The sequence below is a fragment of the Homo sapiens genome, chromosome 2 (genome assembly GCF_000001405.40).
Source record: "Homo sapiens chromosome 2, GRCh38.p14 Primary Assembly".
NCBI lineage: Eukaryota > Metazoa > Chordata > Mammalia > Primates > Hominidae > Homo > Homo sapiens.
The window spans coordinates 92,106,213-92,126,446 of NC_000002.12; the positions used below are offsets into that span (position 1 = coordinate 92,106,213).

A 20,234-nucleotide genomic window follows, 5' to 3' on the forward strand; every position below is an offset into this window, starting at 1 on the left:
CCTTTTCATAGAGCAGGTTTGAAACACTCTTTTTGTGGAATCTGGAAGTGGACATTTGGATCGCTTTGAGGCCTGCGGTGAAAAAGGTATATCTTCGCATAAAAACTAGACAGAAGTATTCTCATGAACTAGTTTGTGATGTGTGTGCTCAACTACCAGAGTTGAACCTTTCTTTGGATAGAGCAGTTTTGAAACACTCTTTTTGTAGAATTTGCATGTGGATATTTGGACAGCTTTGAGGATTTCGCTGGAAACGGGAAAATCTTCATATGAAATCGAGACACAAGCATTCTCAGAAACTTCTTAGGGATGTTAGCGTTCGAGTCACACAGTTGATCACTCCCTTTCATAGAGCAGGTTTGAAGCACTCTTTTTGTAGTATCTGGAAGTGGACGTTTTGATCGCTTTGAGACATAAGGTGAAAAAGGAAATATCTTGCCACAAAAACTACACAGAAGCATTCTCAGAAACTACGTTGTGATGTGTTTACTCAACTAACAGAGTTGAACCTTTCTTTTGATAGAGCAGTTTTGAAACACTCTTTTTGGAGAATCTGCAGGTGGATATTTGGATAGATTTGAGGATTTCCTTGGAAAAGGGAATATCTTCATATAAAATCTAGACCGAAGCCTTCGCAGAAACACCTTTGTGATGTTTGCATTGAAGTCAGAGAGTTGTACATTCCCTGTCATAGAGCAGCTTTGAAACACTCTTTTTGTAGTATCTGCAGATGCACAGTTAGATCACGTTGAGGCCTATGGTGAAATAGGAAATATCTTCGCATAAAAACTAGACGGAAGCAGTCTCCAAAACTTGCTTGGAATGTGTGTACTCAACTAACAGAGTTGAATCTTTCTTTTGATAGAGCAGTTTTGAAACACTCTTTTTGTAGAGTCTGCAAGTGGATATTTGGATAGCTTAGAGGATTTCGTTGGAAACGGGAATATGTCCATACAAAACCTAGACAGAAGCATTCTCAGAAAAATCTCTGTGAGGATTGCATTCAAGTCCCAGTGTTGAACATTCCCTTTCATGAAGCAGGTGTGAACACAAGATGTTGTAGTATATGGAAGTGGACATTTGGAGTGCTTTGTGACCTATTGTGAAAAAGGAAATATCTTCCCATATAAACTAGGCAGAAGCATTCTCAGAAACCAGGTTGTGATGTGTGTACTCAACTAACAGGGTTGAACCTTTCTTTTGAGAGAGCACGCTTGAAAAACTCTTTTTGTAGACTCTGCAATGGGATATTTGGACAGCTTTGAGGATTTCGTTGGAAACGGGATATCTTCATATAAAATCTCGACAGAAGCATCCTCAGAAACATCTTTGGGATGTTTGCATTCAAGTCACAGAGTTGAACATTCCCTTTCATGGAGCAGGTTTGAAACACTCTTTTTGTGGAATCTGGAAGGGGACCTTTGGGTCGCATTGAGGCCTACGGTGAAAAAGGGAATATCTTCGAATAAAAACTAGACAGAAGCATTCTCATAAACTAGTTTGTGATGTGTGTGCTTAACTAACAGAGCTGAACCTTTCTTTTCATTGAGCGGTTTTGAAACACTCTTTTTGTAGAATCTGCAAGTGGATATTTGGCTGGCTCTGAGGATTTCGTTGGAAACGGGAATACATTTAAAAAGCAGACGGCAGCATTCTCAGCAACTTCTTTGTGATGTTTCCATTGAAGTCCCAGTGTTGAACATTCCATTTGATAGAGCAGGTTTGAAACACGCCTTTTGTCATGTCTGGAAGCTGTCCATTTGGAGCACATTCCGGCTTGTGTTGAAAAAGGAAATATCCTCTCATAAAAACTAGACAGAAGCATTCTCTGAAACTTATTTGTGATGTGTGTACTCAACTAACAGAATTGAACCATCGTTTTGAAAGAGCAATTTTGAAACACTCTTTTTCTGGAATCTGCAAGTCGATATTTGTCTAGCATTGAGGATTTCGTTGGAAACGGGATTACATATAAAAGCAGACAGCAGCATTCCCAGAAACTTCTTTGTGATGTTTGCATTCAAGTCACAGAGTTTAACATTCCCTTTCATAGAGCAGGTTTGAAACACTCTTTTTGTAGTATCTGGATGTGGACATTTGGAGCGCTTTCAGGCCTATGGTGAAAAAGGAAATATCTTCCCCTGAAAACTAGACAGAAGCATTCTCAGAATCTTATTTGTGATGTGCGCCCCCAACTAACAGTGTTGAACCTTTCTTTTGATAGAGCAGTTTTGAAACACACTTTTTGTAAAATCTGCAAGAAGATATTTGGATAGCTTTGAGGATTTCGTTGGAAACGGGATTGTCTTCATATAAACTCTAGACAGAAGCTTTCTCAGAAACTTCATTGTGATGTTTCAACTGAAGTCACAGTGTTGAACAGTCCCTTTCATAGAGCAGGTTTGAAACACTCTTTTTGTAGTATCTGGAAGTGGACATTTGGAGCGCTCTCAGGACTACTGTGAAAAAGGAAATATCTTCCAATAAAAGCTAGATAGAAGCAATGTCAGAAATTTTTCATGATGTATCTACTCAGCTAACAGAGTTGAACCTTTCTTTTGAGAGACCAGTTTTAAAACACTCTTTTTGGGGAATATGCAAGTGGATATTAGGCCAGCTTGGAGGATTTCGTTGGAAACGGGAATCCATATAAAAAGCAGACAGCAGCATTGTCAGAAACTTCTTTGTCATGTTTGCATTGAAGTCCCAGAGTTCAACATTCCCTTTAATAGAGCAGGTCTGAAACACGCCTTTTGTCATATCTGGACGTTGTCCATTTGGAGCGCATTCCGGCTTGTCTTGAAAAAGGAAATATCCTCCCATAAAAACTAGATAGAAGCATTCTCAGAAACTTATTTGTGATGTGTGTACTCAACTAACAGAATTGAACCATCGTTGTGGAAGAGCAGTTTGGAAACACTCTTTTTGTGGAATCTGCAAGTGGATATTTGTCTAGCTTTGAGGATTTCGTTGGAAACGGGATTACATATAAAAAGCAGGCCGCAGCATTCCCAGAAACTTCTTTGTGACGGTTGCATTCAAGTCACAGAGTTGAACATTCCCTTTCATAGAGAAGGTTTGAAACACTCTTTTTGTAGTATCTGGATGTGGACATTTGGAGCGCTTTCAGGCCTATGGTGAAAAAGGAAATATCTTCCCCTGAAAACTAGACAGAAGCATTCTCAGAAACTTATTTGTGATGTGCGCCCTCAAGTAACAGTGTTGAACCTTTCTTTTGATAGAGCAGTTTTGAAACACTCTTTTTGTAAAATCTGCAAGAGGATATTTGGATAGCTTTGAGGATTTCGTTGGAAACGGGATTGTCTTCATATAAACTCTAGACAGAAGCATTCTCATAAATTTCTTTGGGATGTTTTAATTGAAGTCACAGTGTTGAACATTCCCTGTCATAGAGCAGGTTTGAAACACTCTTCTTGTAGTATCTGGAAGTGGACATTTGGAGCGCTCTCAGGACTACAGTGAAAAAGGAAATATCTTCCAATAAAAGCTAGATAGAAGCAATGTCAGAAACTTTTTCATGATGTATCTGCTCAGCTAACAGAGTTGAACCTTTCTTTTGAGAGAGCAGTTTTTAAACACTCTTTTTGTGGAATCTGCAAGTGGATATTTGTCTAGCTTTGATGATTTCGTTGGAAACGGGATTACATATAAAAAGCAGACAGCAGCATTCCCAGAAACTTCTTTGTGATGTTTGCATTCAAGTCACAGAGTTGAACATTCCCTTTCATAGAGCAGCTTTGAAACACTCTTTTTGTAGTATCTGGATGTGGACATTTGGAGCGCTTTCAGGCCTATGGTGAAAAAGGAAATATCTTCCCCTGAAAACTAGACAGAAGCATTCTCAGAAACTTATTTGTGATGTGCGCCCTCAACTAACAGTGTTGAACCTTTCTTTTGATAGAGCAGTTTTGAAACACTCTTTTTGTAGAGTCTGCAAGTGGATATTTGGATAGCTTAGAGGATTTCGTTGGAAACGGGAATATGTCCATACAAAACCTAGACAGAAGCATTCTCAGAAAAATCTCTGTGAGGATTGCATTCAAGTCCCAGTGTTGAACATTCCCTTTCATAAAGCAGGTGTGAACACAAGATGTTGTAATATATGGAACTGGACATTTGGAGTGCTTTGTGACCTATTGTGAAAAAGGAAATATCTTCCCATATAAACTAGGCAGAAGCATTCTCAGAAACCAGGTTGTGATGTGTGTACTCAACTAACAGGGTTGAACCTTTCTTTTGAGAGAGCACGCTTGAAAAACTCTTTTTGTAGACTCTGCAAGGGGATATTTGGACAGCTTTGAGGATTTCGTTGGAAACGGGATATCTTCATATAAAATCTCGACAGAAGCATTCTCAGAAACATCTTTCTTTGGGATGTTTGCATGCAAGTCACAGAGTTGAACTTTCCCTTTCATGGAGCAGGTTTGAAACACTCTTTTTGTGGAATCTGGAAGTAGACATTTGGATCGCATTGAGGCCTACGGTGAAAAAGGGAATATCTTCGAATAAAAACTAGACAGAAGCATTCTCATAAACTACTTTGTGATGTGTGCGGTTAACTAACAGAGCTGAACCTTTCTTTTCATAGAGCGGTTTTGAAACACTCTTTTTTTAGAATCTGCCTGTGGATATTTGGAAAGCTTTGAGGATTTCTTTGGAAACGGGAATATCTTCACATAAAATATAGACAGAAGCATTCTCAGAAACGTCTTTGGGGTGTTAGCATTCAAGTCACAGAGTTGAACGCTCCTTTTCATAGAGCAGGTTTGAAACATTCTTTTTGTGGAATCTGGAAGTGGACATTTGGATCGCTTTGAGGCCTGCGGTGAAAAAGGTATATCTTCGCATAAAAACTAGACAGAAGTATTCTCAGGAACTAGTTTGTGATGTGTGTGCTCAACTACCAGAGTTGAACCTTTCTTTTGATAGAGCAGTTTTGAAACACTCTTTTTGTAGAATTTGCATGTGGCTATCTGGACAGCTTTGAGGATTTCGTTGGAAACGGGAAAATCTTCATATGAAATCGAGACACAAGCATTCTCAGAAACCTCTTTGGGATGTTAGCGTTCGAGTCACACAGTTGATCACTCCCTTTCATAGAGCAGGTTTGAAGCACTCTTTTTGTAGTATCTGGAAGTGGACGTTTTGATCGCTTTGAGGCGTAAGGTGAAAAAGGAAATATCTTGCCACAAAAACTACACAGAAGCATTCTCAGAAACTACGTTGTGATGTGTTTACTCAACTAACAGAGTTGAACCTTTCTTTTGATAGAGCAGTTTTGAAACACTCTTTTTGGAGAATCTGCAGGTGGATATTTGGATAACTTTGAGGATTTCCTTGGAAAAGGGAATATCTTCATATAAAATCTAGACCGAAGCCTTCGCAGAAACACCTTTGTGATGTTTGCATTGAAGTCAGAGAGTTGTACATTCCCTGTCATAGAGCAGCTTTGAAACACTCTTTTTGTAGTATCTGGAGATGCACAGTTAGATCACGTTGAGGCCTATGGTGAAATAGGAAATATCTTCGCATAAAAACTAGACGGAAGCAGTCTCCAAAACTTGCTTGGAATGTGTGTACTCAACTAACAGAGTTGAATCTTTCTTTTGATAGAGCAGTTTTGAAACACTCTTTTTGTAGAGTCTGCAAGTGGATATTTGGATAGCTTAGAGGATTTCGTTGGAAACGGGAATATGTCCATAAAAAACCTAGACAGAAGCATTCTCAGAAAAATCTCTGTGAGGATTGCATTCAAGTCCGAGTGTTGAACATTCCCTTTCATGAAGCAGGTGTGAACACAAGATTTTGTAGTATATGGAAGTGGACATTTGGAGTGCTTTGTGACCTATTGTGAAAAAGGAAGTATCTTCCCATATAAACTAGGCAGAAGCATTCTCAGAAAGCAGTTTGTGATCTGTGTACACAACTAACAGGGTTGAACCTTTCTTTTGAGAGAACACTCTTGAAACACTCTTTTTGTAGACTCTGCAAGGGGATATTTTGACAGCTTTGAGGATTTCGTTGGAAACGGGATATCTTCATATAAAATCTCGACAGAAGCATCCTCAGAAACATCTTTGGGATGTTTGCATTCAAGTCACAGAGTTGAACATTCCCTTTCATGGAGCAGGTTTGAAACACTCTTTTGTGGAATCTGGAAGGGGACCTTTGGGTCGCATTGAGGCCTACGGTGAAAAAGGGAATATCTTCGAATAAAAACTAGACAGAAGCATTCTCATAAACTAGTTTGTGATGTGTGTGCTTAACTAACAGAGCTGAACCTTTCTTTTCATTGAGCGGTTTTGAAACACTCTTTTTGTAGAATCTGCAAGTGGATATTTGGCTGGCTCTGAGGATTTCGTTGGAAACGGGAATACATTTAAAAAGCAGACGGCAGCAGTCTCAGAAACTTCTTTGTGATGTTTCCATTGAAGTCCCAGTGTTGAACATTCCATTTGAGAGAGCAGGTTTGAAACACGCCTTTTGTCATGTCTGGAAGCTGTCCATTTGGAGCACATTCCGGCTTGTGTTGAAAAAGGAAATATCCTCTCATAAAAACTAGACAGAAGCATTCTCTGAAACTTATTTGTGATGTGTGTACTCAACTAACAGAATTGAACCATCGTTTTGAAAGAGCAATTTTGAAACACTCTTTTTCTGGAATCTGCAAGTCGATATTTGTCTAGCATTGAGGATTTCGTTGGAAACGGGATTACAAATAAAAAGCAGACAGCAGCATTCCCAGAAACATCTTTGCGATGTTTGCATTCAAGTCACAGAGTTTAACATTCCCTTTCATAGAGCAGCTTTGAAACACTCTTTTTGTAGTATCTGGATGTGGACATTTGGAGCGCTTTCAGGCCTATGGTGAAAAAGGAAATATGTTCTCCTGAAAACTAGACAGAAGCATTCTCAGAAACTTATTTGTGATGTGCGCCCTCAACTAACAGTGTTGAACCTTTCTTTTGATAGAGCAGTTTTGAAACACTCTTTTTGTAGAGTCTGCAAGTGGATATTTGGATAGCTTAGAGGATTTCGTTGGAAACGGGAATATGTCCATACAAAACCTAGACAGAAGCATTCTCAGAAAAATCTCTGTGAGGATTGCATTCAAGTCCCAGTGTTGAACATTCTCTTTCATAAAGCAGGTGTGAACACAGGATGTTGTAGTATATGGAACTGGACTTTTGGAGTGCTTTGTGACTTATTGTGAAAAAGGAAATATCTTCCCATATAAACTAGGCAGAAGCATTCTCAGAAACCAGGTTGTGATGTGTGTACTCAACTAACAGGGTTGAACCTTTCTTTTGAGAGAGCACGCTTGAAAAACTCTTTTTGTAGACTCTGCAAGGGGATATTTGGACAGCTTTGAGGATTTCGTTGGAAACGGGATATCTTCATATAAAATCTCGACAGAAGCATTCTCAGAAACATCTTTCTTTGGGATGTTTGCATGCAAGTCACAGAGTTGAACTTTCCCTTTCATGGAGCAGGTTTGAAACACTCTTTTTGTGGAATCTGGAAGTAGACATTTGGATCGCATTGAGGCCTACGGTGAAAAAGGGAATATCTTCGAATAAAAACTAGACAGAAGCATTCTCATAAACTACTTTGTGATGTGTGCGGTTAACTAACAGAGCTGAACCTTTCTTTTCATAGAGCGGTTTTGAAACACTCTTTTTTTAGAATCTGCCTGTGGATATTTGGAAAGCTTTGAGGATTTCTTTGGAAACGGGAATATCTTCACATAAAATATAGACAGAAGCATTCTCAGAAACGTCTTTGGGGTGTTAGCATTCAAGTCACAGAGTTGAACGCTCCTTTTCATAGAGCAGGTTTGAAACATTCTTTTTGTGGAATCTGGAAGTGGACATTTGGATCGCTTTGAGGCCTGCGGTGAAAAAGGTATATCTTCGCATAAAAACTAGACAGAAGTATTCTCATGAACTAGTTTGTGATGTGTGTGCTCAACTACCAGAGTTGAACCTTTCTTTTGATAGAGCAGTTTTGAAACACTCTTTTTGTAGAATTTGCATGTGGCTATCTGGACAGCTTTGAGGATTTCGTTGGAAACGGGAAAATCTTCATATGAAATCGAGACACAAGCATTCTCAGAAACCTCTTTGGGATGTTAGCGTTCGAGTCACACAGTTGATCACTCCCTTTCACAGAGCAGGTTTGAAGCACTCTTTTTGTAGTATCTGGAAGTGGACGTTTTGATCGCTTTGAGGCGTAAGGTGAAAAAGGAAATATCTTGCCACAAAAACTACACAGAAGCATTCTCAGAATCTACGTTGTGATGTGTTTACTCAACTAACAGAGTTGAACCTTTCTTTTGATAGAGCAGTTTTGAAACAGTCTTTTTGGAGAATCTGCAGGTGGATATTTGGATAGCTTTGAGGATTTCCTTGGAAAAGGGAATATCTTCATATAAAATCTAGACAGAAGCCTTCGCAGAAACACCTTTGGGATGTTTGCATTGAAGTCAGAGAGTTGTACATCCCCTTTCATAGAGCAGCATTGAAACACTCTTTTTGTAGTATCTGGAGATGCACATTTAGATCACGTTGAGGCCTATGGTGAAATAGGAAATATCTTCGCATAAAAACTAGATGGAAGCAGTCTCCAAAACTTGCTTGGAATGTGTGTACTCAACTAACAGAGTTGAATCTTTCTTTTGATAGAGCAGTTTTGAAACACTCTTTTTGTAGAGTCTGCAAGTGGATATTTGGATAGCTTAGAGGATTTCGTTGGAAACGGGAATATGTCCATACAAAACCTAGACAGAAGCATTCTCAGAAAAATCTCTGTGGGGATTGCTTTCAAGTCCCGGTGTTGAACATTCCCTTTCATAAAGCAGGTGTGAACACAAGATTTTGTAGTATATGGAAGTGGACATTTGGAGTGCTTTGTGACATTTTGTGAAAAAGGAAATATCTTCCCATATAAACTAGGCAGAAAAATTCTCAGAAACCAGGTTGTGATCTGTGTACTCAACTAACAGGGTTGAACCTTTCTTTTGAGAGAGCACTCTTGAAACACTCTTTCTGTAGACTCTGCAAGGGGATATTTTGACAGCTTTGAGGATTTCGTTGGAAACGGGATATCTTCATATAAAATCTCGACAGAAGCATCCTCAGAAACATCTTTGGGATGTTTGCATTCAAGTCACAGAGTTGAACATTCCCTTTCATGGAGCAGGTTTGAAACACTCTTTTTGTGGAATCTGGAAGGGGACCTTTGGGTCGCATTGAGGCCTACGGTGAAAAAGGGAATATCTTCGAATAAAAACTAGACGGAAGCATTCTCATAAACTAGTTTGTGATGTGTGTACTTAACTAACAGAGCTGAACCTTTCTTTTCATAGAGCGGTTTTGAAACACTCTTTTTATAGAATCTGCATGTGGATATTTGGAAAGCTTTGAGGATATCGTTGGAAACGGGAATATCTTCACATAAAATATAGACAGAAGCATTCTCAGAAACGTCTTTGGGGTGTTAGCATTCAAGTCACAGAGTTGAACGTTCCTTTTCATAGAGCAGGTTTGAAGCCCTCTTTTTGTGGAATCTGGAAGTGGACATTTGGATCGCTTTGAGGCCTGCGGTGAAAATGGTATATCTTCACATAAAAACTGGACAGAAGTATTCTCACGAACTAGTTTCTGATGTGTGTGCTCAACTAACAGAGTTGAACCTTTCTTTTGACAGAGCAGTTTTTAAACACTCTTTTTGGAGAATCTGCAGGTGGATATTTGGATAGCTTTTAGGATTTCCTTGGAAAAGGGAATATCTTCATATAAAATCTAGACAGAAGCCTTCGCGGAAACACCTTTTTGATGTTTGCATTGAAGTCAGAGAATTGTACATTCCCTTTCATAGAGCAGCTTTGAAACACGCTTTTTGTAGTATCTGGAGATGGACATTTAGATCGCTTTGAGGGCTATGGTGAAATGGGAAATATCTTCGGATAACAACTAGTCGGAAGCAGTCTCCAAAACTTGTTTGGAATGTGTGTACTCAACTAACAGAGTTGAATCTTTCTTTTGATAGAGCAGTTTTGAAACACTCTTTTTTTACAGTCTGCAAGTGGATATTTGGATAGCTTAGAGGATTTCGTTGGAAACGGGAATATGTCCATACAAAACCTAGACAGAAGCATTCTCAGAAAAATCTCTGTGAGGATGGCATTCAAGTGCCAGTGTTGAACATTCTCTTTCATAAAGCAGGTGTGAACACAAGATTTTGTAGTATATGGAACTGGACATTTGGGGTGCTTTGTGACCTATTGTGAAAAAGGAAATATCTTCCCATATAAACTACGCAGAAGCATTCTCAGAAACCGGTTTGTGATGTGTGTACTCAACTAACAGGGTTGAACCTATCTTTTGAGAGAGCACTCTTGAAACACTCTTTTTGTATATTCTGCAAGGGGATATTTTGACAGCTTTGAGGATTTCGTTCGAAACTGGAATATCTTCACATAAAATCTAGACAGAAGCATTTTCAGAACCGTCTTTGGGGTGTCAGCATTCAAGTCACATATTTGAACGTTCCTTTTCATAGAGCAGGTTTGAAACACTCTTTCTGTGGAATCTGGAAGTGGACATGTGGATCGCTTTGAGGCCTGTGGTGAAAAAGGTGTATCTTCGCATAAAAACTAGACAGAAGTATTCTCATGAACTAGTTTGTGATGTGTGTGCTCAACTACCAGAGTTGAACCCTTCTTTTGATAGAGCAGTTATATACACTCTTTTTGTGGAATTTGCATGTGGATATTTGGACAGCTTTGAGGATTTCGTTGGAAACGGGAAAATTTTCATATGAAATCGAGACACAAGCATTCTCAGAAACCTCCTTGGGATGTTAGCGTTCGAGTCACAGAGTTGATCACTCCCTTTAATAGAGCAGGTTTGAAGCACTCTTTTTGTAGTATCTGGAAGTGGACGTTTTGATCGCTTTGAGGCGTAAGGTGAAATAGGAAATATCTTGCCTCAAAAACTAGACAGAAGCATTCTCAGAAACTTATTTGTGATGTGCGCCCTCAACTAACAGTGTTGAACCTTTCTTTTGATAGAGCAGTTTTGAAACACTCTTTTTGTAAAATCTGCAAGAAGATATTTGGATAGCTTTGAGGATTTCGTTGGAAACGGGATTCTCTTCATATAAACTCTAGACAGAAGCATTCTCAGAAACTTCATTGGGATGTTTCTATTGAAGTCGCAGTGTTGAACAGTCCCTTTCATGGAGCAGGTTTGAAACACTCTTTTTGTAGTATCTGGACGTGGACATTTGTAGCGCTTTCAGGGCTATATTGAAAAAGGAAATATCTTCCCATAAAAACTAGACAGAAGCATTCTCTGAACCTAGTTTCTGAGATGTGTCCTCAACTAACAGAGTTGAACATTTCTTTTGACAGAACAGTTTTGAAACACTCTTTTTGTGGAATCTGCAAGTGGATACTTTGCTGGCTTTGAGGATTTCGTTGGAAACGGGAATACATATAAAAAGCAGACAGCAGCGTTGTGAGAAACTTCTTTGTGATGTTTGCATTCAAGTCACAGAGTTGAACGTTCCGTATCATAGAGCAGGTTGGAAACATGCCTTTTGTCATATCTGGAAGTGTCCATTTGAAGCGCATTCAACCTTGTGTTGAAAAAGGAAATACCTTCCAATAGAAACCAGACAGAAGCATTCTCAGAAACTTATTTGTGATGTGTGTACTCAAATAACAGAATTCAACAATCGTTTTGAAGGAGCAGTTTTGAAACACTCTTTTTGTGGAATCTGCAAGTGCATATTTAGCTAGATTTGACGATTTCGTTGGAAACGGGATTACATATAAAAAGCAGACAGCAGCATTCTCAGAAACTCCTTTGTGATGTTTGCATTCAAGTCACAGAGTTGAACATTCCCTTTCATAGAGCAGGATTGAAAAACTCTTTTTGTAGAATCTGGATGTGGACATTTGGAGTGCTTTCAGGCCTATGGTGAAAAAGGAAATATCTTCCCCTGAAAGCTAGACAGAAGCACTCTCAGAAACTTAATTGTGATGTGTGCCCTCAACTAACAGTGTTGAACCTTTCTTTTCATAGAGCAGTTTTGAAACACAATTTTGTTAAATCTGCAAGAGGATATTTGGATAGCTTTGAGGATTTCGTTGGAAACGGGATTGTCTTCATATAAACTCTAGACAGAAGCATTCTTAGAAATTTCTTTGGGATGTTTCAATTGACGTCACAGTGTTGAACATTCCCTTTGATAGAGCAGGTTTGAAACACTCTTCTTGTAGTATCTGGAAGTAGACATTTGGAGCGCTCTCAGGACTACAGTGAAAAAGGAAATATCTTCCAATAAAAGCTAGATAGAAGCAATGTCAGAAACTTTTTCATGATGTATCTGCTCAGCTAACAGAGATGAACCTTTCTTTTGAGAGAGCAGCTTTGAAACACTCTTTTTGTGGAATATGCAAGTGGATATTTGTCTAGCTTTGAGGATTTCGTTGGAAACGGGATTACATATAAAAAGCAGACAGCAGCATTCCCAGAAACTTCTTTGTGATGTTTGCATTCAAGTCACAGAGTTGAACATTCCCTTTCACAGAGCAGGTTTGAAACACTCTTTTTGTAATATCTGGATGTGGACATTTGGAGCGCTTTCAGTCCTATGGTGAAAAAGGAAATATCTTCCCCTGAAAACTAGACAGAAGCATTCTCAGAAACTTATTTGTGATGTGTGTAGTCAACTAACAGTGTTGAACCTTTCTTTTGGTAGAGCAGTTTTGAAACACTCTTTTTGTAAAATCTGCAAGAGGATATTTGGATAGCTTTGAGGATTTCGTTGGAAACGGGATTGTCTTCATATAAACTCTAGACAGAAGCATTCTCAGAAATTTCTTTCGGATGTTTCAATTGAAGTCACAGTGTTGAACATTCCCTGTCATAGAGCAGGTTTGAAACACTCTTTTTGTAGTATCTGGAAGTGGACATTTGGAGCGCTCTCAGGACTACAGTGAAAAAGGAAATATCTTCCAATAAAAGCTAGATAGAAGCAATGTCAGAAACTTTTTCATGATGTATCTACTCAGCTAACAGAGTTGAACCTTTCTTTTGAGAGAGCAGTTTTGAAACACTCTTTTTGTGGAATCTGCAAGTGGATATTTGTCTAGCTTTGAGGATTTCGTTGGAAACGGGATTACATATAAAAAGCAGACAGCAGCATTCCCAGAAACTTCTTTGTGACGTTTGCATTCAAGTCACAGAGTTGAACATTCCCTTTCATAGAGCAGGTTTGAAACACTCTTTTTGTACTATCTGGATGTGGACATTTGGAGGGCTTTCAGGCCTATGGTGCAAAAGGAAATATCTTCCCCTGAAAACTAGACAGAAGCATTCTCAGAAACTTATTTGTGATGTGCGCCCTCAACTAACAGTGTTGAACCTTTCTTTTCATAGAGCAGTTTTTAAACACTCTTTTTCTAAAATCTGCAAGAGGATATTTGGATAGCTTTGAGGATTTCGTTGGAAACGGGATTGTCTTCATATAAACTCTAGACAGAAGCATTCTCAGAAACTTCATTGGGATGTTTCAATTGAAGTCACAGTGTTGAACAGTCCCTTTCATAGAGCAGGTTTGAAACACACTTTTCGTAGTATCTGGAAGTGGACATTTAGAGCGCTCTCAGGACTACGGTGAAAAAGGAAATATTCTCCAATAAAAGCTAGATAGAAGCAATGTCAGAAACTTTTTCATGATGTATCTACTCAGCTAACAGAGTTGAACCTTTCTTTTGAGAGAGCAGTTTTGAAACACTCTTTTTGTGGAATATGCAAGTGGATATTTGTCTAGCTTTGAGGATTTCGTTGGAAACGGGATTACATATAAAAAGCAGACCCCAGCATTCACAGAAACTGTTTTTTGATGTTTGCATTCAAGTCACAGAGTTGAACATTCCTTTTCACAGAGCAGGTTTGAAACACTCTTTTTGTAGTATCTGGATGTGGACATTTGGAGCGCTTTCAGGCCTATGGTGAAAAAGGAAATATCTTCCCCTGAAAACTAGACAGAAGCATAATCAGAAACTTATTTGTGATGTGCGCCCTCAACTAACAGTGTTGAAACTTTCTGTTGATAGAGCAGTTTTGAAACACTCTTTTTGTAAAATCTGCAAAAATATATTTGGATAGCTTTGAGGATTTCGTTGGAAACGGGATTGTCTTCATATAAACTCTAGACAGAAGCATTCTCAGAAACTTCATTGGGATGTTTCAATTGAAGTCACAGTGTTGAACAGTCCCTTTCATAGAGCAGGTTTGAAACACTCTTTTTGTAGTATCTGGACGTGGACATTTGGAGCGCTTTCAGGCCTATGGTGAAAAAGGAAATATCTTCCCCTGAAAACTAGACAGAAGCATTCTCAGAAACTTATTTGTGATGTGCGCCCTCAACTAACAGTGTTGAACCTTTCTTTTGATAGGGCAGTTTTGAAGCACTCTTTGTGTAAAATCTGCAAGAGGATATTTGGATAGCTTTGAGGATTTCGTTGGAAACGGGATTGTCTTCATATAAACTCTAGACAGAAGCATTCTCAGTAACTTCATTGGGATGTTTCAATTGAAGTCACAGTGTTGAACAGTCCCTTTCATAGAGCAGGTTTGAGACACTCTTCTTGTAGTATCTGGAAGTGGACATTTGGAGCGCTGTCAGGACTACGGTGAAAAAGGAAATATCTTCCAATAAAAGCTAGATAGAAGCAATGTCAGAAAATTTGTCATGATGTATCTACTCAGCTAACAGAGTTGAACCTTTCTTTTGAGAGAGCAGTTTTGAAACACTCTTTTTGTGGAATCTGCAAGTGGATATTTGTCTAGCTTTGAGGATTTCGTTGGAAACGGGATTACATATAAAAGCAGAGAGCAGCATTCTCAGAAACTTCTCTGTGATGTTTGCATTCAAGTCACAGATTTGAATATTCCCTTTCATAGAGCAGGTTTGAAACACTCTTTTTGTAGTATCTGGAAGTGGACATTGAGAGCGCTCTCAGGACTACGGTGAAAAAGGAAATATCTTCCAATAAAAGCTACATAGAAGCAATGTCAGAAACTTTTTCATGATATATCTACTCAGCTAACAGAGATCAATCTTTCTTTTGAGAGAGCAGTTTTAAAACAGTCTCTTTGTGGAATATGCAAGTTGATATTAAGCCAGCTTTGAGGATTTCCTTGGAAACGGGAATGCATATAAAAAGCAGACAGCAGCATTCTCAGAAACTTCTTTGTGATGTTTGCATTGAAGTCCCAGATTTGAACATTCCCTTTCATAGAGCAGGTTTGAAACACGCCTTTTGTCATATCTGGAAGTTGTCCATTTGGAGCGCATTCCGGCTTGTGTTGAAAAAGGAAATATCCTCCCATAAAAACTAGATAGAAGCATTCTCAGAAACTTATTTGTGATGTGTGTACTCAACTAACAGAGTTGAACCTTTCTTTTGAGAGAGCAGTTTTGAAACACTCTTTTTGTGGAATCTGCAAGTGGATATTTGTCTAGCTTTGAGGATTTCGTTGCAAACGGGATTACATATAAAAAGCAGACAGCAGCATTCCCAGAAACTTCTTTGTGATGTTTGCATTCAAATCACAGAGTTGAACCTTCCCTTTCATAGAGCAGGTTTGAAACACACTTTTTGTAGTATCTGTATGTGGACATTTGGAGCGCTTTCAGGCCTATGGTGAAAAAGGAAATATCTTCCCCTGAAAACTAGACAGAAGCATTCTCAGAAACTTATTTGTGATGTGCGCCCTCAACTAACAGTGTTGAACCTTTCTTTTGATAGAGCAGTTTTGAAACACTCTTTTTGTAAAATCTGCAAGAGGATATTTGGATAGCTTTGAGGATTTCGTTGGAAACGGGATTGTCTTCATATAAACTCTAGACAGAAGCATTCTCGGAAGCTTCATTGGGATGTTTCAATTGAAGTCACAGTGTTGAACAGTCCCTTTCATAGAGCAGGTTTGAAACACTCTTTTTGTAGTATCTGGAAGTGGACATTTGGAGCGTTCTAAGGACTACGGTGAAAAAGGAAATATCTTCCAATAAAAGCTAGATAGAAGCAATGTCAGAAACTTTTTCATGATGTATCTACTCAGCCAACAGAGTTGAACCTTTCTTTTGAGAGAGCAGTTTTGAAACACTCTTTTTGTGGAATCTGGAAGTGGATATTTGTCTAGCTTTGAGGATTTCGTTCGAAACGGGATTACATATAAAAAGCAGACAGCAGCATTCCCAGAATCTTCTTTGTGATGTTTGCATTCAAGTCACAGAGTTGAACATTCCCTTTCATAGAGCAGGTTTGAAACACTCTTTTTGTAGTATCTGGATGTGGACATTTGGAGCGCTTTCAGGCCTATGGTGAAAAAGGAAATATCTTCCCCTGAAAACTAGACAGAAGCATTCTCAGAAACTTATTTGTGATGTGCGCCCTCAACTAACAGTGTTGAACCTTTCTTTTGATAGAGCAGTTTTGAAACACTCTTTTTGTAAAATCTGCAAGAGGATATTTGGATAGCTTTGAGGATTTCGGTGGAAACGGGATAGTCTTCATATAAACTCTAGACAGTAGCATTCTCAGAAGCTTCATTGGGATGTTTCAATTGAAGTCACAGTGTTGAACAGTCCCTTTCATAGAGCAGGTTTGAAACACTCTTTTTGTAGTATCTGGATGTGGACATTTGGAGCGCTTTCAGCCCTATGGTGAAAAAGGAAATATCTTCCCCTGAAAACTAGACAGAAGCATTCTCAGAAACTTCATTGGGATGTTTCAATTGAAGTCACAGTGTTGAACAGTCCCTTTCATAGTGCAGGTTTGAAACACTCTTTTTGTAGTATCTGGAAGTGGACATTTTGAGCGCTCTCAGGACTTCGGTGAAAAAGGAAATATCTTCCAATAAAAGCCAAATAGAAGCAATGTCAGAAACTTTTTCATGATGTATCTACTCAGCTAACAGAGTTTAACCTTTCTTTTGAGAGAGCAGTTTTGAAACATTCTTTTTGTGGAATCTGCAATTGGATATTTCTCTAGCTTTGAGGATTTCGTTGGAAACGGGATAACATATAAAAAGCTACAGCAGCATTCCCAGAAACTTCTTTGTGATGTTTGCATTCAAGTCACAGAGTTCTACATTCCCTTTCATAGAGCAGGTTTGAAACACTCTTTTTGTAGTATCTGGAAGTGGACATTTAGAGCGCTCTCAAAACTATGGTGAAAAAGGAAATATCTTCCAATAAAAGCTAGATAGAAGCAATGTCAGAAACTTTTTCATGATATATCTACTCAGCTAACAGAGTTCAACCTTTCTTTTGAGAGAGCAGTTTTAAAACAGTCTTTTTGTGGAATATGCAAGTGGATATTAAGCCAGCTTGGAGGATTTCGTTGGAAACGGGAATCCATATAAAAAGCAGACAGCAGCATTCTCAGAAACTTCTTTGTGATGTTTGCATTGAAGTCCCGGATTTGAACATTCCCTTTCATAGAGCAGGTTTGAAACACGCCTTTTGTCATATCTAGAAGTTGTCCGTTTGGAGCGCATTCCGGCTTGTGTTGAAAAAGGAAATATCCTCCCATAAAAACTAGATAGAAGCACTCTCAGAAACTTATTTGTGATGTGTGTACTCAACTAACAGAATTGAACCATCGGTTTGAAAGAGCAGTTTTGAAACACTCCTTTTGTGGAATCTGCATGTGGATATTTGTCTAGCTTTGAGGATTTCGTTGGAAACGGGATTGTCTTCATATAAACTCTAGACAGTAGCATTCTCAGAAGCTTCATTGGCATGTTTCAGTTGAAGTCGCAGTGTTGAACAGTCCCTTTCATAGAGCAGGTTTGAAACACTCTTTTTGTAGTATCTGGAAGTGGACATTTGGAGCGCTTTCAGGCCTATGTTGAAAAAGGAAATATCTTTCCATAAAAACAAGACAGAAGCATTCTCTGAAACCGGTTTCTGAGGTGTGTCCTCAACTAACAGAGTTGAACATTTCTTTTGACAGAACAGTTTTGAAACACTCATTTTGTGGTATCTGCAAGTGAATATTTGGCTGGCCTTGAGGATTTCGTTGGAACCGGGAATACTTATAAAAAGCAGACAGCAGCATTGTGAGAAACTTCTTTGTGATGTTTGCATTCAAGTCACAGAGTTCAAAGTTCGGTATCATAGAGCAGGTTGGAAACACGCCCTTTGTCATATCTGGATGTGTCCGTTTGGAGCGCATTCAGGCTTGTGTTGAAAAAGGAAATATCTTCCCATAGAAACCAGACAGAAGCATTCTCAGAAACTTATTTGTGATGTGTGTACTCAACTAACAGAATTCAACAATCGTTTTGAAGGAGCAGTTTTGAAACACTCTTTTTGTGGAATCTGCAAGTGCATATGTAGCTAGATTTGAGCATTTCGTTGGAAACGGGATTACATATAAAAAGCAGACAGCAGCATTCCCAGAAACTTCTTTGTGATGTTTGCATTCAAGTCACAGAGTTGAACATTCCCTTTCATAGAGCAGGTTTGAAACACTCTTTTTGTAGTATCTGGATGTGGACATTTGGCGCGCTTTCAGGCCTATGGTGAAAAAGGAAATATCTTCCCCTGAAAACTAGACAAAAGCATTCTCAGAAACTTATTTGTGATGTGCGCCCTCAACTAACAGTGTTGAAGCTTTCTTTTGATAGAGCAGTTTTGAAACACTCTTTTTGTGGAATCTGCAAGTGGATATTTGTCTAGCTTTGAGGATTTCGTTGGAAACGGGATTACATATAAAAAGCAGACAGCAGCATTCCCAGAAACTTCTTTGTGATGTTTGCATTCAAATCACAGAGTTGAACCTTCCCTTTCATAGAGCAGGTTTGAAACACACTTTTTGTAGTATCTGTATGTGGACATTTGGAGCGCTTTCAGGCCTATGGTGAAAAAGGAAATATCTTCCCCTGAAAACTAGACAGAAGCATTCTCAGAAACTTATTTGTGATGTGCGCCCTCAACTAACAGTGTTGAACCTTTCTTTTGATAGAGCAGTTTTGAAACACTCTTTTTGTAAAATCTGCAAGAGGATATTTGGATAGCTTTGAGGATTTCGTTGGAAACGGGATTGTCTTCATATAAACTCTAGACAGAAGCATTCTCGGAAGCTTCATTGGGATGTTTCAATTGAAGTCACAGTGTTGAACAGTCCCTTTCATAGAGCAGGTTTGAAACACTCTTTTTGTAGTATCTGGAAGTGGACATTTGGAGCGTTCTAAGGACTACGGTGAAAAAGGAAATATCTTCCAATAAAAGCTAGATAGAAGCAATGTCAGAAACTTTTTCATGATGTATCTACTCAGCCAACAGAGTTGAACCTTTCTTTTGAGAGAGCAGTTTTGAAACACTCTTTTTGTGGAATCTGGAAGTGGATATTTGTCTAGCTTTGAGGATTTCGTTCGAAACGGGATTACATATAAAAAGCAGACAGCAGCATTCCCAGAATCTTCTTTGTGATGTTTGCATTCAAGTCACAGAGTTGAACATTCCCTTTCATAGAGCAGGTTTGAAACACTCTTTTTGTAGTATCTGGATGTGGACATTTGGAGCGCTTTCAGGCCTATGGTGAAAAAGGAAATATCTTCCCCTGAAAACTAGACAGAAGCATTCTCAGAAACTTATTTGTGATGTGCGCCCTCAACTAACAGTGTTGAACCTTTCTTTTGATAGAGCAGTTTTGAAACACTCTTTTTGTAAAATCTGCAAGAGGATATTTGGATAGCTTTGAGGATTTCGGTGGAAACGGGATAGTCTTCATATAAACTCTAGACAGTAGCATTCTCAGAAGCTTCATTGGGATGTTTCAATTGAAGTCACAGTGTTGAACAGTCCCTTTCATAGAGCAGGTTTGAAACACTCTTTTTGTAGTATCTGGATGTGGACATTTGGAGCGCTTTCAGCCCTATGGTGAAAAAGGAAATATCTTCCCCTGAAAACTAGACAGAAGCATTCTCAGAAACTTCATTGGGATGTTTCAATTGAAGTCACAGTGTTGAACAGTCCCTTTCATAGTGCAGGTTTGAAACACTCTTTTTGTAGTATCTGGAAGTGGACATTTTGAGCGCTCTCAGGACTTCGGTGAAAAAGGAAATATCTTCCAATAAAAGCCAAATAGAAGCAATGTCAGAAACTTTTTCATGATGTATCTA

General features: G+C 38.8%; 21 annotated features.

Moving 5' to 3' along the window:
• Positions 903-1,824: an enhancer, noted in NCBI's record as "OCT4-NANOG-H3K27ac-H3K4me1 hESC enhancer chr2:92295141-92296062 (GRCh37/hg19 assembly coordinates)". NCBI's record gives its function as "activates a minimal SCP1, AML or CMV promoter by ChIP-STARR-seq in naive and primed H9 embryonic stem cells {active_cell/tissue: H9 hESC(naive and primed)}" and the evidence as "EXISTENCE:reporter gene assay evidence [ECO:0000049][PMID:30033119]".
• Positions 1,825-2,745: an enhancer, noted in NCBI's record as "OCT4-NANOG-H3K27ac-H3K4me1 hESC enhancer chr2:92296063-92296983 (GRCh37/hg19 assembly coordinates)". NCBI's record gives its function as "activates a minimal SCP1, AML or CMV promoter by ChIP-STARR-seq in naive and primed H9 embryonic stem cells {active_cell/tissue: H9 hESC(naive and primed)}" and the evidence as "EXISTENCE:reporter gene assay evidence [ECO:0000049][PMID:30033119]".
• Positions 2,746-3,666: an enhancer, noted in NCBI's record as "OCT4-NANOG-H3K27ac-H3K4me1 hESC enhancer chr2:92296984-92297904 (GRCh37/hg19 assembly coordinates)". NCBI's record gives its function as "activates a minimal SCP1, AML or CMV promoter by ChIP-STARR-seq in naive and primed H9 embryonic stem cells {active_cell/tissue: H9 hESC(naive and primed)}" and the evidence as "EXISTENCE:reporter gene assay evidence [ECO:0000049][PMID:30033119]".
• Positions 3,667-4,587: an enhancer, noted in NCBI's record as "OCT4-NANOG-H3K27ac-H3K4me1 hESC enhancer chr2:92297905-92298825 (GRCh37/hg19 assembly coordinates)". NCBI's record gives its function as "activates a minimal SCP1, AML or CMV promoter by ChIP-STARR-seq in naive and primed H9 embryonic stem cells {active_cell/tissue: H9 hESC(naive and primed)}" and the evidence as "EXISTENCE:reporter gene assay evidence [ECO:0000049][PMID:30033119]".
• Positions 6,417-7,169: an enhancer, noted in NCBI's record as "OCT4-NANOG-H3K27ac-H3K4me1 hESC enhancer chr2:92300655-92301407 (GRCh37/hg19 assembly coordinates)". NCBI's record gives its function as "activates a minimal SCP1, AML or CMV promoter by ChIP-STARR-seq in primed H9 embryonic stem cells {active_cell/tissue: H9 hESC(primed)}" and the evidence as "EXISTENCE:reporter gene assay evidence [ECO:0000049][PMID:30033119]".
• Positions 10,818-11,405: an enhancer, noted in NCBI's record as "OCT4-NANOG-H3K27ac-H3K4me1 hESC enhancer chr2:92305056-92305643 (GRCh37/hg19 assembly coordinates)". NCBI's record gives its function as "activates a minimal SCP1, AML or CMV promoter by ChIP-STARR-seq in naive H9 embryonic stem cells {active_cell/tissue: H9 hESC(naive)}" and the evidence as "EXISTENCE:reporter gene assay evidence [ECO:0000049][PMID:30033119]".
• Positions 11,406-11,992: an enhancer, noted in NCBI's record as "OCT4-NANOG-H3K27ac-H3K4me1 hESC enhancer chr2:92305644-92306230 (GRCh37/hg19 assembly coordinates)". NCBI's record gives its function as "activates a minimal SCP1, AML or CMV promoter by ChIP-STARR-seq in naive and primed H9 embryonic stem cells {active_cell/tissue: H9 hESC(naive and primed)}" and the evidence as "EXISTENCE:reporter gene assay evidence [ECO:0000049][PMID:30033119]".
• Positions 11,993-12,579: an enhancer, noted in NCBI's record as "OCT4-NANOG-H3K27ac-H3K4me1 hESC enhancer chr2:92306231-92306817 (GRCh37/hg19 assembly coordinates)". NCBI's record gives its function as "activates a minimal SCP1, AML or CMV promoter by ChIP-STARR-seq in naive and primed H9 embryonic stem cells {active_cell/tissue: H9 hESC(naive and primed)}" and the evidence as "EXISTENCE:reporter gene assay evidence [ECO:0000049][PMID:30033119]".
• Positions 12,580-13,165: an enhancer, noted in NCBI's record as "OCT4-NANOG-H3K27ac-H3K4me1 hESC enhancer chr2:92306818-92307403 (GRCh37/hg19 assembly coordinates)". NCBI's record gives its function as "activates a minimal SCP1, AML or CMV promoter by ChIP-STARR-seq in naive and primed H9 embryonic stem cells {active_cell/tissue: H9 hESC(naive and primed)}" and the evidence as "EXISTENCE:reporter gene assay evidence [ECO:0000049][PMID:30033119]".
• Positions 13,166-13,752: an enhancer, noted in NCBI's record as "OCT4-NANOG-H3K27ac-H3K4me1 hESC enhancer chr2:92307404-92307990 (GRCh37/hg19 assembly coordinates)". NCBI's record gives its function as "activates a minimal SCP1, AML or CMV promoter by ChIP-STARR-seq in naive and primed H9 embryonic stem cells {active_cell/tissue: H9 hESC(naive and primed)}" and the evidence as "EXISTENCE:reporter gene assay evidence [ECO:0000049][PMID:30033119]".
• Positions 13,753-14,339: an enhancer, noted in NCBI's record as "OCT4-NANOG-H3K27ac-H3K4me1 hESC enhancer chr2:92307991-92308577 (GRCh37/hg19 assembly coordinates)". NCBI's record gives its function as "activates a minimal SCP1, AML or CMV promoter by ChIP-STARR-seq in naive and primed H9 embryonic stem cells {active_cell/tissue: H9 hESC(naive and primed)}" and the evidence as "EXISTENCE:reporter gene assay evidence [ECO:0000049][PMID:30033119]".
• Positions 14,340-14,926: an enhancer, noted in NCBI's record as "OCT4-NANOG-H3K27ac-H3K4me1 hESC enhancer chr2:92308578-92309164 (GRCh37/hg19 assembly coordinates)". NCBI's record gives its function as "activates a minimal SCP1, AML or CMV promoter by ChIP-STARR-seq in naive and primed H9 embryonic stem cells {active_cell/tissue: H9 hESC(naive and primed)}" and the evidence as "EXISTENCE:reporter gene assay evidence [ECO:0000049][PMID:30033119]".
• Positions 14,927-15,512: an enhancer, noted in NCBI's record as "OCT4-NANOG-H3K27ac-H3K4me1 hESC enhancer chr2:92309165-92309750 (GRCh37/hg19 assembly coordinates)". NCBI's record gives its function as "activates a minimal SCP1, AML or CMV promoter by ChIP-STARR-seq in naive and primed H9 embryonic stem cells {active_cell/tissue: H9 hESC(naive and primed)}" and the evidence as "EXISTENCE:reporter gene assay evidence [ECO:0000049][PMID:30033119]".
• Positions 15,513-16,100: an enhancer, noted in NCBI's record as "OCT4-NANOG-H3K27ac-H3K4me1 hESC enhancer chr2:92309751-92310338 (GRCh37/hg19 assembly coordinates)". NCBI's record gives its function as "activates a minimal SCP1, AML or CMV promoter by ChIP-STARR-seq in primed H9 embryonic stem cells {active_cell/tissue: H9 hESC(primed)}" and the evidence as "EXISTENCE:reporter gene assay evidence [ECO:0000049][PMID:30033119]".
• Positions 16,101-16,686: an enhancer, noted in NCBI's record as "OCT4-NANOG-H3K27ac-H3K4me1 hESC enhancer chr2:92310339-92310924 (GRCh37/hg19 assembly coordinates)". NCBI's record gives its function as "activates a minimal SCP1, AML or CMV promoter by ChIP-STARR-seq in primed H9 embryonic stem cells {active_cell/tissue: H9 hESC(primed)}" and the evidence as "EXISTENCE:reporter gene assay evidence [ECO:0000049][PMID:30033119]".
• Positions 16,687-17,274: an enhancer, noted in NCBI's record as "OCT4-NANOG-H3K27ac-H3K4me1 hESC enhancer chr2:92310925-92311512 (GRCh37/hg19 assembly coordinates)". NCBI's record gives its function as "activates a minimal SCP1, AML or CMV promoter by ChIP-STARR-seq in naive and primed H9 embryonic stem cells {active_cell/tissue: H9 hESC(naive and primed)}" and the evidence as "EXISTENCE:reporter gene assay evidence [ECO:0000049][PMID:30033119]".
• Positions 17,275-17,860: an enhancer, noted in NCBI's record as "OCT4-NANOG-H3K27ac-H3K4me1 hESC enhancer chr2:92311513-92312098 (GRCh37/hg19 assembly coordinates)". NCBI's record gives its function as "activates a minimal SCP1, AML or CMV promoter by ChIP-STARR-seq in naive and primed H9 embryonic stem cells {active_cell/tissue: H9 hESC(naive and primed)}" and the evidence as "EXISTENCE:reporter gene assay evidence [ECO:0000049][PMID:30033119]".
• Positions 17,861-18,448: an enhancer, noted in NCBI's record as "OCT4-NANOG-H3K27ac-H3K4me1 hESC enhancer chr2:92312099-92312686 (GRCh37/hg19 assembly coordinates)". NCBI's record gives its function as "activates a minimal SCP1, AML or CMV promoter by ChIP-STARR-seq in naive and primed H9 embryonic stem cells {active_cell/tissue: H9 hESC(naive and primed)}" and the evidence as "EXISTENCE:reporter gene assay evidence [ECO:0000049][PMID:30033119]".
• Positions 18,449-19,034: an enhancer, noted in NCBI's record as "OCT4-NANOG-H3K27ac-H3K4me1 hESC enhancer chr2:92312687-92313272 (GRCh37/hg19 assembly coordinates)". NCBI's record gives its function as "activates a minimal SCP1, AML or CMV promoter by ChIP-STARR-seq in naive and primed H9 embryonic stem cells {active_cell/tissue: H9 hESC(naive and primed)}" and the evidence as "EXISTENCE:reporter gene assay evidence [ECO:0000049][PMID:30033119]".
• Positions 19,035-19,621: an enhancer, noted in NCBI's record as "OCT4-NANOG-H3K27ac-H3K4me1 hESC enhancer chr2:92313273-92313859 (GRCh37/hg19 assembly coordinates)". NCBI's record gives its function as "activates a minimal SCP1, AML or CMV promoter by ChIP-STARR-seq in naive and primed H9 embryonic stem cells {active_cell/tissue: H9 hESC(naive and primed)}" and the evidence as "EXISTENCE:reporter gene assay evidence [ECO:0000049][PMID:30033119]".
• Positions 19,622-20,207: an enhancer, noted in NCBI's record as "OCT4-NANOG-H3K27ac-H3K4me1 hESC enhancer chr2:92313860-92314445 (GRCh37/hg19 assembly coordinates)". NCBI's record gives its function as "activates a minimal SCP1, AML or CMV promoter by ChIP-STARR-seq in naive and primed H9 embryonic stem cells {active_cell/tissue: H9 hESC(naive and primed)}" and the evidence as "EXISTENCE:reporter gene assay evidence [ECO:0000049][PMID:30033119]".